The sequence below is a fragment of the Homo sapiens genome, chromosome 6 (assembly GCF_000001405.40).
Source record: "Homo sapiens chromosome 6, GRCh38.p14 Primary Assembly".
NCBI lineage: Eukaryota > Metazoa > Chordata > Mammalia > Primates > Hominidae > Homo > Homo sapiens.
Genome location: NC_000006.12, coordinates 124,980,038 through 124,996,044, shown reverse-complemented (window position 1 = coordinate 124,996,044; position 16,007 = coordinate 124,980,038). Strand labels below are relative to the sequence as shown.

The 16,007-nt window shown below is 35.5% G+C and overlaps 1 protein-coding gene across 17 annotated transcripts in view; it reads right to left on the bottom strand.

The window, feature by feature from the left end:
- The window catches only part of RNF217 (ring finger protein 217), a 130,198-nt gene that overhangs the window by 96,590 nt on the left and 17,601 nt on the right, over nucleotides 1–16,007 (bottom strand). For 2 of the 17 annotated variants that reach the window (NR_104440.3, NM_152553.5), the window contains exon 1: nucleotides 12,524–12,677. The exons of the other annotated variants lie outside the window; for them this stretch is intronic. The gene's annotated coding sequence lies outside the window, so the exon portion shown is untranslated. Of the gene's footprint in view, nucleotides 1–12,523; nucleotides 12,678–16,007 lie in introns of those variants that run through there. 17 annotated transcript variants of the gene reach the window in all.

Below are 16,007 nucleotides of genomic sequence, written 5' to 3'. Positions count from 1 at the left end.
CTTTCCCAGATTTAAAAAATCTGGAAAAATTCCTATACATGTACATAGTCTGTAAGAGAAATAGAAAAAAAAAACCCAGAAATATTCCAAATGTTTTTCTTTTCTTGATTCTTTTTCTTTTTTGAGACAAGAGTCTTGCTCATCACCCAGGCTGGAGTGCAATGACACGATCTCGGCTCACTGCAACCTCCACCTCCTGGGTTCACATGATTCTCCTAGCTCAGCTTCCCGAGTAGCTGGGATTACAGAAGTCCATCACCACGCCCAGCTAATTTTTGTAATTTTAGTAGAGATGGGGTTTTGCCATGTTGGTCAGGCTGGTCTCGAACTCCTGACCTCAGGTGATCCACCCACCTCGACCTCCCAAAGTGCTGGGATTACAGGCATGAGCCACAGCACCCGCCCTCCAAATGTTTTTCAATAGGCAAAGTGTAAGTAAATCGGGTTATATTCATACAACAAACTCCAAAACAACAATGAAAAATGAACAAATTGCTGTCTCATATAAAAGAATCTCAAAATGTTAACTTTGAATAAAGTAAAAGTCCTATAAAAAACATACAAAGAATGTTTTCATTTTTATAAAAGTGATTAAAAATGTGCACAACTAAGCAACAGTGTTTAGGGATGCATACATTTGTAATGAAACTAAATTAATAAATAATTCAATAAAATCCAGGACATTGTTTAGCTCTGAATCAGAGTGCACAGTGTGTTTTGGATGGCACCAGGATGGCCTTCAATATTGTTACTGTTCTATTTTTTATGTGAGCTTTCATTTTATTATTGTTTTTAAAACTATAACCATGTGTTATATTCTTTTGTATGTATAATATTTCACAAAATAAAATCTGTAAAAGAGATTAGAGGCAATAAAAGTACACTAACTTTTAATAAAATATGGATGAAGAAGGTGGTGGTATAAATAACTGACAAACCACAAACATCTCCCTACTCAAGGGTACAAATATAGTCAACAATGAGAAATAATCTTGTTTTAATTTTTCTTAATAGAACTATAAATTATCCTTAGGTTAATACTTGGATACGTAACATCCCATTTTTACACAATATTAGTAGCCTGAATTTACAAAGTTGTCTATTCCTGGATCATAAAAAATTCTCGTAGTATACCTCAACTTTCTCAGTACTATCTCTTTTAGATGGTAAGCTCCAAATCCCAGAGCCTGCCAACAGTCAGCCACGGAGCTATAAAATTCAGGCTCAAGTAACAGGTGTACAGTTTTTCAAGTATAATTCTTACTCCTAAAAAAGATGAAAGCATAGTTGGAAATATAATGCCATACAACTGCCTAAAGTAGCACTTACTAGCACAAAAGAAAACACTTGGGCAGCTCAGGATGTAGTAGTTTGAGGATATATACAAAAAGCAGGTTGTAGAAACTTTTGTATCTACCTAACATCATGCTAGTAACTAACTTTTTTTTCTCCAATTTGGGAGCAGCAAAGCAGCTGTGTATGGGAGAAAACAGATTCACACATCTGAAGTCAGAAGTCTGGACAGTCTTAGTTATTTCACTTACAAGTTTGTGAAGTCTACCATTCATGAGGCAACTGGAAATTTGAACACTGACTAGATATATAATGATATTAAGAAATGATTATTATTTAGGTGTAATTATGTCTCCGTTCAAAAGAATAAGTCCTCACTTTAGGGAGATACATACTGAAAGACTTGCAGATGAAATCACGTCAGGATTTTGCTTCAAAATAAGGAAGGGAAGGGGAAGTGAGTGGGAATAGATACGCAACAAAATAGTTCATAAGTCACTAATTGTTGTGGTTGTGTGACAGGCACATGGGGTTAGACTATTCTGCCTATATTTTAAAAATATGTTTAAACATTTATAAAACAAAAAGATACACACACATCCCTTATATACATATTTTTTTTTCTCTAGGCTAATATTTTAAAATTCCATTTTCTTCTAAACTTGCTTTTTCCTCTTCCTTCCATCATGACCCCTTCCCTCTTTCCAGTCCCTTCTCCACACTCCAGCCAGAGTAATTTGTTTTCTCAAATGCAAAATGTTGTTTCAATGACTTTCAATCACTGCCCACTACCTGCAGAATAAAGGCCTCAATTCCTTGTCATAGATTAATGGCTCGAATTCCCACTCACCTCTCCAGAGGATCTCCTGCTTCTACTGAGCCACTGCAATTCACTGAAGAAGTATGCTCTTTCAGCTGTGGCACTCTTAGCCCTGACACACTCTTTACGCAGCCCCTTCTTTATCTGGCTAACTCCTACTTACCCTTAGATCTCATCTGAGGCCTCACTATTCCTTACAAAACTCTCCCTGACAAACAGCTGGCCTACCCGGCCTTCCTATGTGCCGCCCAGCACCTGCACCTAGCTCTAATGTAGCACCTACTACACTGTAAGACAGGTGATTTTACTTATATATCTACCCGAATAGGCTACAATTCCCTGACTTAAAAACATGTCAGGTTCACCTTTGCACTGCCAAGATCTGGAATAGTGCGTGCCACAACTAGAAAGCCCTCAGTGAATATTTGCGCAACTGAGGAATGATCTTATTCTCTCATATTTCCTAAGCCTCTTCATCAAAGAAAGGAAAACCTAACCAAAGTTTGGTTAACAGATGGGCTAATGATAATAATTTTAGTGGAAAGGACGGGAGGGGAGGAGAAGATCTAATATTTACTTGTAATTACTATCTGCCAGTTATTGTTCTAGGCACTCTATTTATATTGTTCGCTTAGTCAGAAAACCCAAGATACTTGTAAAAATACAGATTCCTGGGACACATCCCAGAATTACTAAATCAGAATTTCTTGGGGCAAGACCTCAGGAATCTATTTTTTAATAGATGCCTCATGCGTTTCTGATAGTAAGTCAACTTTAGGCATAACTGGCCAGCAGTAGAGACCAAAAGAAAGTTCATATATCAAGTATATTTTACTATTTGAACTCAATTATTACAAAATGTTTTATTTGATTATGCTCTATAAATTTGCCAATAATACTACTATAGGCAAGAGCACTGACAGTTGTTTCTCAGTCTATAAAATGAACAAATATTCTATTACATTGGAAAATTTAGACAGCTTCATGGCAATGTCTTTTTCTGATATCTAAATGTAACATCATCAAAGACATAAATCGTTTTAGGTAAAAGATGAGTGGTCATCTGCATAAGCAACTAAGGATAAATTTATTAAATTTATTTAAAGTAAATTTATTACATTTACTAACTAGTAATTTATTAAAGTAATCCAATTACTTTACAATTAGAATTTGACAAAAAAAATCATTACAACAAAGAATGTTCTGCTAAAGAATTATTCTTTACAAAATTTGGAACAGAAAAATTCAATGTACTTTTATCATTCAAAAGATAGTACCATACTTTCCAAGATCAAATCCACATTCTGAAACAAAATGGAACAAGTCAATTTCAACAAGAAAAACCTCCCCTCTTCTCACTATTCTAAACTTTTATTATATAATACACTAGAACAAGCTAACCGAATCCAGTATCTTGCTATAGATGTTAGCAGAACAGCCATTACATCTACACAGCATTAGAAATATAAACCACAAACCAGCCTATGTCAAGTACATTCTTAAAATCAATGTTCTATAGCCTCTTAGTTTCTTATTTTCTCCTGCTTGACTATTATTTATCAAGTTTTCATTTGGGAATAGAAAACATGTTTTAATATATGTAGCTTTGTACAAAACCAGTATTTAAGGTTTCACCTAGTTTTATTAGGAAACATTATTCTAATTACAAAACATACCTTTGCGGTAAAAATGAATACATGTCCTACTTAAAATGTTAAAAGGAGTTATTCCTTAATATTTTAGAGCATTCTACAGCCTTGCTACTCAAAGTGTGATGCTGCAGGTCAGCATTACTGGCATTACTTTGTAGCTTGTTTGAATTGTAAAAGTATAGGCCCCATCTCAGGCTTAGTAAATCAGAATTTGCAATGTTAACAAGATCCCCAGGGCATTTATATGAGAAGGAATACTCTGTAATTTTCATAAATCATTTGAGTCCCCTGGGTTCAATATCAGTCATGGACTAATGACCTGTATGACCTTGGGGAATCCATGGGCCCAGGGCTGTCTAATAGAGCTTTCTGGTATGACAGAAAAGTGCTATACCTGAGTGGTCAAATACAGCAGCCACTGAACACAAGAGCCCTTAAAAGTTGCTACTAGGACTGAGGAACTAAATCTTTACTTAATTTTAATTTACATTTGAATAGTACCATGTGGCTATTAGCACAGGTTTAGAAACTATTTATAACATAAAATCCCTTCCAGCTCTAAAATCTTACAATTCTAGATATAGAAAAAATGATTTACAAAATTGTCTTCAAGATACTATTTAAAACAAATGTCTGTTGATCACCTACTACATGTCAAGCACTCAGGCCTCATGAATCAACAAAACCAAACAAAATTCTTATCCTCATGGCCTACAGCCTTGCGGGGAGAAAAAGACAACAAAAATGAATATAATAAATAAAACACATCATTATTAGAAGATAATAAAGCCATGAAAAAATACAGCAGATTAAACAAGGAAGAAGAATGCTGGTATGGGGGGGATGAGGGTTGGTAGCATGTATACATGGGTTGCTAAAAGAAGGCCACTAGGAGAAATTGATATTTGAGCACAGACTGGAAACAGATTAAGAGCTAGCCATGTAAATATTATGGGAAAGATGAACAGCTACTGGAAAGGTCCTAATGCAGACATGGGTTTGATGTGAGAAAGAGCAAAGAGTCCGAGAAGCTGGTTCTGAGTGAGCAATGGCAGGAGGAATAGAAAATGGAGTCAGAGAGGTCAGAAAGGAAACAGGGTGGGGGAACAGAGTCATGGATCACACAGGGAATTGCAGGCCACTGCAAGATCTTTGGCCTTTACTCTGAGGAGACATTGTAAAAGAGCAACATGTCAGGTCTTACATTTTTAAATGATCTCTCTGGCTTCACTGTGTCACCCAGGCTTTGCAGTGGTGTGATCTTGGCTCACTGCAACCTCAAAATCCTGGGGTCATGTGATCTTCCCACCTCCCTCTCGGGTAGCTAGGACTACAGGAATGAGCTACTGTGCCCAGCTAATTATTTATTTTTATTTTTGTAGAGATGGGGTCTTGCTTTGTTGCTCAGGCTGGTCTCGAACTCCTGGCCTCAAGTAATCCTCCCACCTCAGCCTCTCAAAGTGCTGGGATTACGGACGTAAGCCACCATGCCCAATTTGGCTTCACTCTTGAGATCACTCTACAAAGGTACTAGGGCAGGGAGAATAGTTAAGATTTTACTGCTAGATTCCTGGTGAGAATGATGGTGGCATGGTTCACAGTGGTAGCAGGGGAAATGGTGAGAAGTGGCTCAATTCTGGTTATATTTTAAAGGTAGATCTAACAATCACACATGAAAAATAAGAATGTGCTATGACAGAAAGAAGAGTCAGAGTTTATTCCAAAGTTCTGGTCTAAGCAACTGGAAAAATGGAATGGCCATCAACTGAAATGGTGAAAACTATAAATAAAACAGGTTTACAGGGAAATATAAAAGAACTGAGTTTTTGAGATGTCAAATTTGAGATATCTCTTATAAAATCAATTGCAGATATATTACATAGATGTATAAACAAGTCTGGAGTTCCATGAAACTGTCTGAGCTCGGGATATAAATTAGAAAGCCAGTGGCAGATACAGAATACTTACCAGAAATTGGATAAGATAATAAGAGTAGTGAGCATACATAGAGAAGATAAAAGGACCAAGACTTATAAGAGTTAAAACAAAAGTTAAGAAGTAATTCAGAAGGAGATTAATTAACAACAAATCATAAAATAAATATCCAGTGTGGAATGAAGAAAATGAAGACTATGGTGTCCTTGAAGTCAAGTGAAGAAAGTATTTCAAGGAGGATAGAGTGATAAATTGTGTCAGATACTTACAAAAGCAGTTACAGTGGAGAGGTAGAGGCAAAGCTTGATTGAAATGGGTTCAAGAGAAAATGGAAAGAAAGGAAATAAGAGATGGGAGTGGAGACAACTTTTGCAAAACATTATAAAGAAAGCACACAAGAGGAACACTAGCTGCAAGGAAAAATGGAGCCCTACAAGGGGGGTTTTGTTGTCTTTATTTTGTTGGTGTTTTTTTTTTCAAGCAGAGAACAATAACAGCTGGTTTGTATGCTAAGAAGAAAGATCCAATAAAGAGAAAAATCAATAATATAGGACAGAGTTCAGTAAATTATTTGGTCCATGGGCCACATCTAACCTGCTGCCTGTTTGGTACAGCCTACGACCTGTGAATGATTTCTACCTTTCTAAATGGTTAAATAGAAAAATGAAAAGAATAGTAATAATTGATAACATGAAAATTATATCAAATTTAAGTGTTTACAAATAAAGCTTTATTGGAACATAGCCATGCTCATCATTTATGCACTGTTTATGGCTGCTTTTGTGTGACAATGGCAGAGCTGAGTTGTGATGGAGATCATAGGTGACATTCTCATTGATTCCCACCATTGCTCAGTTCACTATGAATCACAGTGACAGTTAAAACTTGACAGCATTTGGAGTGCCATGCATATTACCTTACCATGACTCTTGCATTACTTTTCTCATTACTATTGCATACGTCAAAAGAAGAAAGAAGATAAATAAACTTCAAGTGTCATGCTTTGAAGGCACAATGGAGTGTGGATTATTTTGCTACGTAATTACATGGCAAATAACTTTGTTTATTATGCAGTGAGACTGTAGTTATACTAAAAGAATACAATACATGACAACATTACTAGCATAAGCGCTCATCAAAATATTGCCAACTAAAAGTAAAGTGACGGTTTAAAAAATAGTAAATTAAAAAAAAATTCCATCACACAGAACTTCACAAAATGTAAACATGCAAAATGAAGCTGCACCAAAGTAACTTTTCAAATGGCACATTTGTTAGACAAGCAAATTAAATTATATTGTAGCAGATATATGCTTATAAAAAAATAAACTGGTTTAAGACTATTAGCATTTTGGTGATACCCCTGTTCAAAGAGCTGCAAAACTTGGAAGCAACATTAACATGCAATTTAAAAACAAGGCAAATGATTTCAAGTTGTTTTCCTTGGCTCTTTACATGTCAACTGACATACAGATACGGCTTAACTGTTATTGTTTATTTGAGGAGTCAATGCTGAGTTTGAAGTGACCTGGAAAATCAGTCTCTATGAATGAACATTCTCTGTGGAATAACTATAGGCAAAGATTAAAGGTGTTAACGATTAAAGAACTTTAATTAGAGAAGTTTAAAGATTAAACAAATTGAGAAAACACAAATTCAGTACAATCTCAAGTAGAATCTGCTAAAATGTGTTAAAATGGATGGTGGCAAAAATGTAGGATAGAAAAAGGCTTAGTTTGACAAATTTAAAAAGCTAGTGAACATTTTGGGTTTTTAACGGTTGTGGTTATTCACTGTATTACTTATCAGCAGGTACTTTGTGAAAAATACTCAAATCTATCATGTGTTATTGAACCAACAGTGTCACTTATAAAATTCATTTGCTTTCATGGATTTAACAATCATTCTGTGAATTCTGTCATGAGTAGAAGCTGAATATCCTGATGTGCCTTAGCCAGTAATTTGATGAGTTAGCAGTCGTAAAGTTTTATTGCAGTATTTTGAGCTTAGGTTGAAACTTTTCAGAATACGAAAAACTGCCATAGACCATTTAATGCAGTGGTCCCCAACCTTTTTGGCACTAGGGACTGGTATCATGGAAGACAACTCTTCCATGGATGGGGGTCAGGGGTGATAGTTTTGGGATGAAACTGTTCCATTTCAGATCATCAGGCATTAGATTCTCATAAGGAGCGTGCAACCCAGATCCCTCGCATGTGCAGTTCACAATACAGTTAACACTCCCATGAGAATCTGATGCCTTCGCTGACCTGATAGGAGGCGGAGCTCAGGTGGTAATGCTCGCTCACCCGAGCATTATCTCCTCCTATGTGGCCTGGTTCCTAACAGTCCGGGGATTGATCCCTGGATTGGGGACACTTAATCTAACGGCTTTGGAAATTAGCTTTTGCTGCAGACTTTCTAATGTATGTTAATTAATCCAATCTAAAATCACAACAAACCGCAGAATGTACAAGTTAATATTGCAGTAAAATCATTGTAACAACTAATATTTGAATCACAAGATTCAAGTGTTGAGCTTCTATATCACCTTCTCATCCTGTCAAAAATTAAAATAAGAGCCAGGCAAGGTATAGTCCCAGCTATTCCACGGGTTGAGGCAGGAGGATCACTTGAGCCTAGCAGTTCAAAGCCAGCCTGGACAACATAGCCAGACTCTGTCTCTAAAAATAAGCAAATAATCATTTAAAAAAACAAGAAGCAAGATCTCCGTTTTCACACTAATTTGCAGTAGACACATTTTCTGAGCTCAATTTATGATTTCAACATTCCAACAGCATTTTTTGGACCTTGAAATTTCCTTATTTCAAAATCCATTTGTCAGTTACAAAAGACCACATATTGCATGATTCTGTTTATATAAAATGTCCAGGAAAAGCAATTCTATAGAAACAGAAACTAGATTCATGGTTTCTTAGGATGGGGATAGGAGGCCTGGGGTGAGGGCAGGGAATGATGAATAATGGGTATGGGATTTCTCTTAGGGGGAATAAAAAAAGTTTCAAAATTAGGTAGTGATACTGGTCTCATATCCTGTGAATATACAAAATAATAATTATACACTTTAAATATGTGAACTATACGATATGTGAAACATATTTCAATAAGGAATTTTTAAAAAATCCATTTGACTGTGCAACTGAGGAGCTTCCACCTAATTTTCAATTGGAAGTATTCTGCACTGTAATGAAATTCTAAAAGGCAAATATCAAGAGATGAATCTAAAGAATCGTATAAAAAACGTCCAAATTATGAATGTGCATACATGCTAGTAGACTAATATCTATATTCGGCAAAACCTGTATGTGTGAAAAGATGTTTTAAATATGAAATATGTAACATTTCAACACAGATCAGTACGACAGATGAATATTTACAATTAACACTGATGACAGGAAACATTAATGTTCAACCCCAGGCAAGCAAAACATTATCTCAAAAGAAATAATTCTATTATTTACATTAGTAAATCTATATTACAAATTTCAAGATACTTTATTATTACTAATACTATTATATTTTCAATTTTCTCAATAAAATATGTGGAAATTTGTCTTTTCTCTTGTATTACAAGTACCTACATAATATTCTTCATTTTGCCTCTTGGCCTACAAAACCTAAAATATGTACTGTCTGGCCTTTTACAGAAAATGTCTGCCAGCCTTTCACATAAGACAGGGAAGAGATAACCTTATAAAATTCTTTTGAATAAACACAAAAAGAAAGCTATTGCACCAATTATTGGTTTAATTCAACTTTTAAAAAGTCTATTTGAAATGATTAAGCATGATTACTAACATAAAGATAGGGCATACAATAATCAAAATACATTAAAGCAAAGGCTGAAGACAGCTGGAGGAAGGGATCAGATGGAAGCCATGCATTAGAGTATCTTTGTAAAAACCCAAAGGACAGCTTAAGATCAGTACTTGAATATGACATCAAAGGAAGTCTGTTGCCTGATGGTTGCCCTCCCTTTCTTCTAACCACAAAACTTTCTTGATGTGGGAGGAAAAGGGTCAACCTGACAATCACCAAAAAACAAGGTCACAAAAGAAGGTAAGGCATTTATAGAAATAGCAATCTTTGGCTTTGTAAATAGGAAAAGTTACAAATCAAGACTAATGCCAGCCTGGCAGAGAAAACAAATGCATTATTTATACTTGGAAGGGTAATTGAGGAATGCAATCTGAATTATACTCCTCTAATGGAGAAGATCATTTCTACCTTTGTGACATATCTAGAATTCATTTTAAAAGGCAATGAAAGAAATTAGCTTTCATGACCTATATCACCTCCCAAAGGCCCGCCTCATCTCTTAACACTATTGCATTGATGGCTGAGTTTCAACACATGAATTTTGGGAGGAAACAAACATTCAGATCTTTGCAGCACTTATTTGCCAAAAATCAAAGAAATACCAAAAAGTTGATTAATGTAACATAACCATGTTCACAACACCCCTTTATTAATAAATGTTAATATTTTATCATTCTGCTTCCTGGTTTTTTATATAAAAAGTACAACCTTAGAGATAAAGAATATAATTCCTTGCTACCTCTCTCTTCCTTCCCAGAGCTAGACATTCATAAATCTGATTTATGTTTTTTTTACTATACTATACACATTTCTCTGAACAATATATTGTGGCTTTATGTGTCCTTAAAATTCCACTGCTTTGAAACTGCTTTAATTCTGAAACTTGATCTTCTTTTCCTTAATATTGTATTTTCAATACATATATCATGTTAATATGTAGAGATTTAGTTAAAATTATGTGCAGTTGAATATTCTACTTTATTAATATATCAGAGTTCTCTCACACATTTCCTAATGATAGAAATTCACTTCCAAAATAACTAAGAGTATAATTGGATTATTTGTAACACAAAGAATAAATGCTTGAGTGGATGAATATACCATTTTCCATGATGTGATTATTAAGTATTACATGCCTGTATGAAAACATCTCATATAACCCATAAATATACATACCTATTATGTATCCGCAAAAATTAAAAATAAAAAGAGAAAAACAGAAATTTGTTCCCAATAATGTTGGAGTATATATTCTCATACACACATCTTACACAAGTGCAGGAGTTTTTCTGGGAACAAACAGTGTGTGAACATCCCTTTTTCCCCTATCCTAACCAGCACTTGGTACACACCAGACTTTTGGATCTTGCACTTTTAAGTGTGAGACACTATCTGGTTTTGCTGATTTAAATTATCCTATTAGTATGGATCATGTGACCTAAGAATGAGTATGAGCTTTTTTGTATACATTTATTGGCCATTAATGTCATTAAACTTTGCATTTCTTTTCTATTGGGTGCTTTGTCTTTTGCTTACTGATTTGTATGAGTTTGTATATACTATGGATAATAACCTTTTATGTCTTACATATATTATAAAACTATTTTCCCAGATGTGAATTGTCTTTTGTCTCAGTTTATAGTATCATTTTCCCCCTGCAGGAATTCTTTGCTTAGAGGGAATAAAGCTGAGTCATTTCCTTTCAGAGTTGTATTTCTCAGGTTCTAAGAAATATTTTTCCATACTAAGGTTATACAGACATCAGAAAATCAGTTCTACTAGTACACTTAAAATTTGATTACACATCTAGGTCTTTAACATATCTGGACTTCATTTCTCCATATGATGAGATTAAAAAAAACCTAATTTTTTATATGGAAAGCCTACCATCCTTGCACCTTTATTGAAATGTCCCCTCCCCTCCACTCTATTTTCTTTCTTTCTTTTTTTTTTTTTTTTTTTTGAGAAAGGGTCTCAGTCTGTTGTCCAGGCTGGAGGTGTGATCACAACGCACTGCAGCCTTGACCTCACAGTCTCAGGTGATTCCCACACCTCAAGTCTCCCTGGTAGCTGGGACTACAGGCATGCACCACCACACCTGGTTACTTTTTTGTATTTTTTGTACAGACAGGGTTTCTCTATGTTGCCCGGGTTGCTGTCGAACACTTGGGCTCAAATGATCCACCCACCTTGCCTTCCCAAAGTGCTGGAATTACAGGCGTGAGCCACTATGCCTGGCCACTCTATTTTATTGACTATAGCACAACCACAATTATATCCCAAGTTCCCATACACAAGTGGGTCTCATTATTAGCACTTTTCTCTGTTCCAGTAATTTGTTTGTACCTATAAAAATACAAAATGATTTAACTTATTGCTGTGGTGTGAATGTTTGCTTCTCCCTAAAATTCATGTAACACCAAAGGTGAATGGTATTAAGAAGTGGGGCTTTTGGGAGGTGATGGAGGGCTCTACCCTAATAAACAGGATAAATATCCTTACAAAAGAGGCTTCAGAGAGCTTGTGTTGCCCCTTCTGTCACGTGAGGATGCATAGAAGGTGCCATGCATGAGGAACAGGCCCTCACCAGACAGTGAATCTTCTGGTGCCTTGATGCTGAACTCTCAGCTTACAGAATTGTGAGCAATAAATTTCTGTCATTTATAAATTACCCAGTCTCAGTATTTTGTTGTAGCAGCACAGACTAAGACACTAACCCATTAAGTATCTTTTCCAAGAGTCTTATAGTTATTACAGGGCAAAGATTAAACCCAAATCATCTAACTCCAAGCCTCTTCCTACTGAGCCAGTAAGAAAATACTGCATTTGAAATATAGCCACAAAGCACCATAGGAAATTATCAATTAATTTCACTAGGGGTGAAAACATCGTTAGGTATCTCCCCCACACCCTTATGAAAGTGAAGCCTACCACAGAAGATGGAATAGAATGACTGGTATTAGTTTCAGTATTTAGTATCTACCTTTAATTATATAACCTGTAAGGTCCTTTTCATTAGTGACAAGTGAGGACATAAATCCACTAAACCATCACTCAGGCTCTAAATTCACATTTGTCCTGACCATATTTCACTCTCTACCTTAATCTTCTCATGTTTGTGTCCTCCTCTGTATACTAAATAAAGTACACAGTCGGAGTTCTATCCCACATCTTAGTTACCATGAAAACCAAATAATTACCAGAATCTGATTGTCTCTACATCACAAGACACAAAAGCCTTTTAAAACCAGTGGCTCTAAACCTTTTTGGGTAATGGTCCAAAGACTTAATAAATGTTATGGGCCCACTCATAAGATAAAAATTGATTTTACATAAAATTTCTGAGCATTTATGACCCTTCTGAAGACAATAAATAAATAAATAGACTCTCAAGTTAAGAACCTCTATTTGTGGTTGAGGGGGGAGCGTTGAAGAAGAAATATATAGAAAGCTTTTCCTTAAAACAAATTACTCTATGAAGTGATCCTTTTACTGTGACACCTATATGTGCTTCTTCCCTTTTCTTTCCCTTTCATGAACCAGCAGCAAACCTGCTAGCCAAGGAAAGATGAATGAATTCCCTTCACAGCTCTTCAATGTACTCATCAAAGGTAACACAGGTGAATAATGCAACCCCATTCCTATTCTTCTCACCAGGAAGTGAGTAAATTACTTTCACATACCATAAAGTCATCAACTTTTGACATATTTTACTTTATAAATGTATCAATTATATACCAAAGATGACTTGAGAAACCAGTGTTTGCATATCATCTAGAAACCAAATGCCTTTAGAGGGTAGGCACATAAAGCAATTGTTTATTAATACTTTGTTTTCAGGCAAGATCTAGCATAGACTCATATGTAAATATATTATTAATAAATGATCTATAAAACGGCAATGATTATAAGTTATTATGTAAAATGTGTTACTGAAACAAAATTCAATGCAGGAATCCTTTTTTTTTTGGAGGCTGGGGGTGGGGATTAGACTACAGAATTTTCCCATACGTGAGGTACCAATGACCACATTTTTGCTATAGAAAATATCCAAGTATCTGGAAAGTGAGATAAATATTGAAAAAGTATCTTGTATTACCCTATGAAATATCTTCTATTTTTCAGTAAAGTTGGTACTTTTGAGGAAAAATGCTAAACTGTCATGATTCAAAAATTAAATCCCATCACATTTACAGAGAAACTTCTTGCAAACATTGAATTTACTTTGAAGTGAGTTGATTCTTGACAGAAAGATGAATATGAGTGTGAAAGGAAAATAAATCTCAGGACCCCAAAAATCACTAAGCCAAGGGAAAAGTCAAGTTGGAAAGTACATCAGGCAAACCTTCTTTCCCTTTTATTCCTAAATAAGATAGCTACAAAAATAAAAAAGCTACATAGCTACATACCTCCCTCACAATTTGCCCACAAGGAAATTCCTTGTGGGCCTCAAGATCTTTTTTTTTTTTTTTTTTTTTGAGACAGAGTCTCGCTCTGTTGCCAGGATGGAGTGCAGCGGCGCGATCTCGGTTCATTGCAACCTCTGCCTCCCGGGTTCAAGTGGTTCTTCTGCCTCAGCCCCAGGAGCAGCTGGGACTACAGGTGCCCATAACCACGCCCGGCCAAATTTTTTTTTTTTTTTGTATTTTTAGTAGAGACAGGGTTTCACCACGTTCGCCAGGATGGTCTCTATCTCTTGACCTAGTGGTCTGCCTGCCTCGGCCTCCCAAAGTGCTGGGATTATAGGCATGAGTCACCGCCCTCGGCCAAGATCTTTACTCTATGTTAAACAGTTGTGTTGATTTTCACCCTGGCAATATATGATAGCGTATCTTCACAAGTCCAGGACAGAAAGTCATCTCTCTGCTCAGCTGAGGCAAATGCATATCTGATTGCTTTCTCTGCCTTGCTGTTTATGTAAAAAGGCAGATTCACTGAGCCAGACTAAATTGTATATTCAGTGAATGGCTGATCAAGGACTCAAAAGAATGTAATCTTTTGTCTCTTATCTACCTATGGCCTGAAAGTCACCGCCCCCCCAACCAAACCAATGTTTGGTCACATACTGATTGATGTCTCATGTCTTCCTAAAATGTATAAAAGCAAGCTGTACCCCGACCACCTTGGACACACTTATTGTCAGGACCTCCTGGGGATATGCCACAGTGCATCCTTAACTTCGCAAAATAAACTTTCTAAATTAACTGAAACCCGTCTCAGATATTTTGTGTTCACATGGGGAAAAATTCCAGTTAAATACCCTGTAAATAATTTAATGAGATATTACAAATTTAATGACTGTTTTAAACATAAAATATAAAATCAAATTTTTTAATTACTTTAATTTTTATCAATTTTTTCACAAACATTATAAACAGTATTCTTAAGCACCATATAGTGTCTGTGACTGCTCACACCATCTAATTTGAAAATATTTTAAATTGAGTAAATTACTGCTCCTTAAATTACATTTATCCAGATATGCAGAGAAAACTGAGAAATCAGTAATTAAACAAACGTACAGAGTTTATGTTCTTCTAAAATACAGACAACATGCACATGGAACATATCTATTTTAAAGACAAATACTTGAGGCTTTCTCATAAATTTTTTTAAAATCACACTGACATTTTACTACCTCCCACTGAAATACTACTGGTTTTATGATCAATATAGAGTGTAATTAGAGGGAAATTTCAGGACTCTATGAAATTAACAAATCAAAGTATGGAGGGAGGGGCAACTCAGTCATTCAGCATAAAATCAACAAAAAATCTTTGTTTAAGTTGTTACTTTATCACTCTACTCTAACCAAAAACAAAGAAAAGGACAGGCACGATCAAAACAGCTATTGTATGGTTAAGCCATGACCCCAAGGCCTTTGTCATTAAAGGTAGAGGATGTGGAACTTACACCAGAAGGGAACACTGTTATATAAAAAAAGAATTAGAAGGAAGAGAGGAATATGTGTAATTAAATAGGAATTAACTGGGGAAGCAAATGACTTATCCAAAACAATTCAACAAACTAAAAACAAGAACTAAATAGAATTACCAAAAAATTCCAATAACATTCTCTTAGAACTGAAGGTTGGCCAGTAAGACCTTTGTTATTTCTGGGAAGGGGAGGGTGGTAGGTAGTTCCTATTTGTTTTAAAAAGTAATGAAGATAAACTGCTGAGCATCAAATTAACGAAAGACTGAAAAAAAGCAAATTGCAAACTATTGAGAAGCAGAGGGTGGCTCAACGTTTTTGAAAAAACTGATTCTGACAATCAGTGAAATAATTATGGACATCTTCGCAAAAGATGTTTCCAAATTTTTTGGCCAGTGACTTTTTACATGTCTCTGAAACCAAACATTAAAAACAAACAAACAAAAAATCCCTTCGAGATGGGTAAAATATGAGAGAATCAAGTTGAACAGAGGCTAATCCTACGTTGCTTGAAAGATAAAAACTGCAGCTGA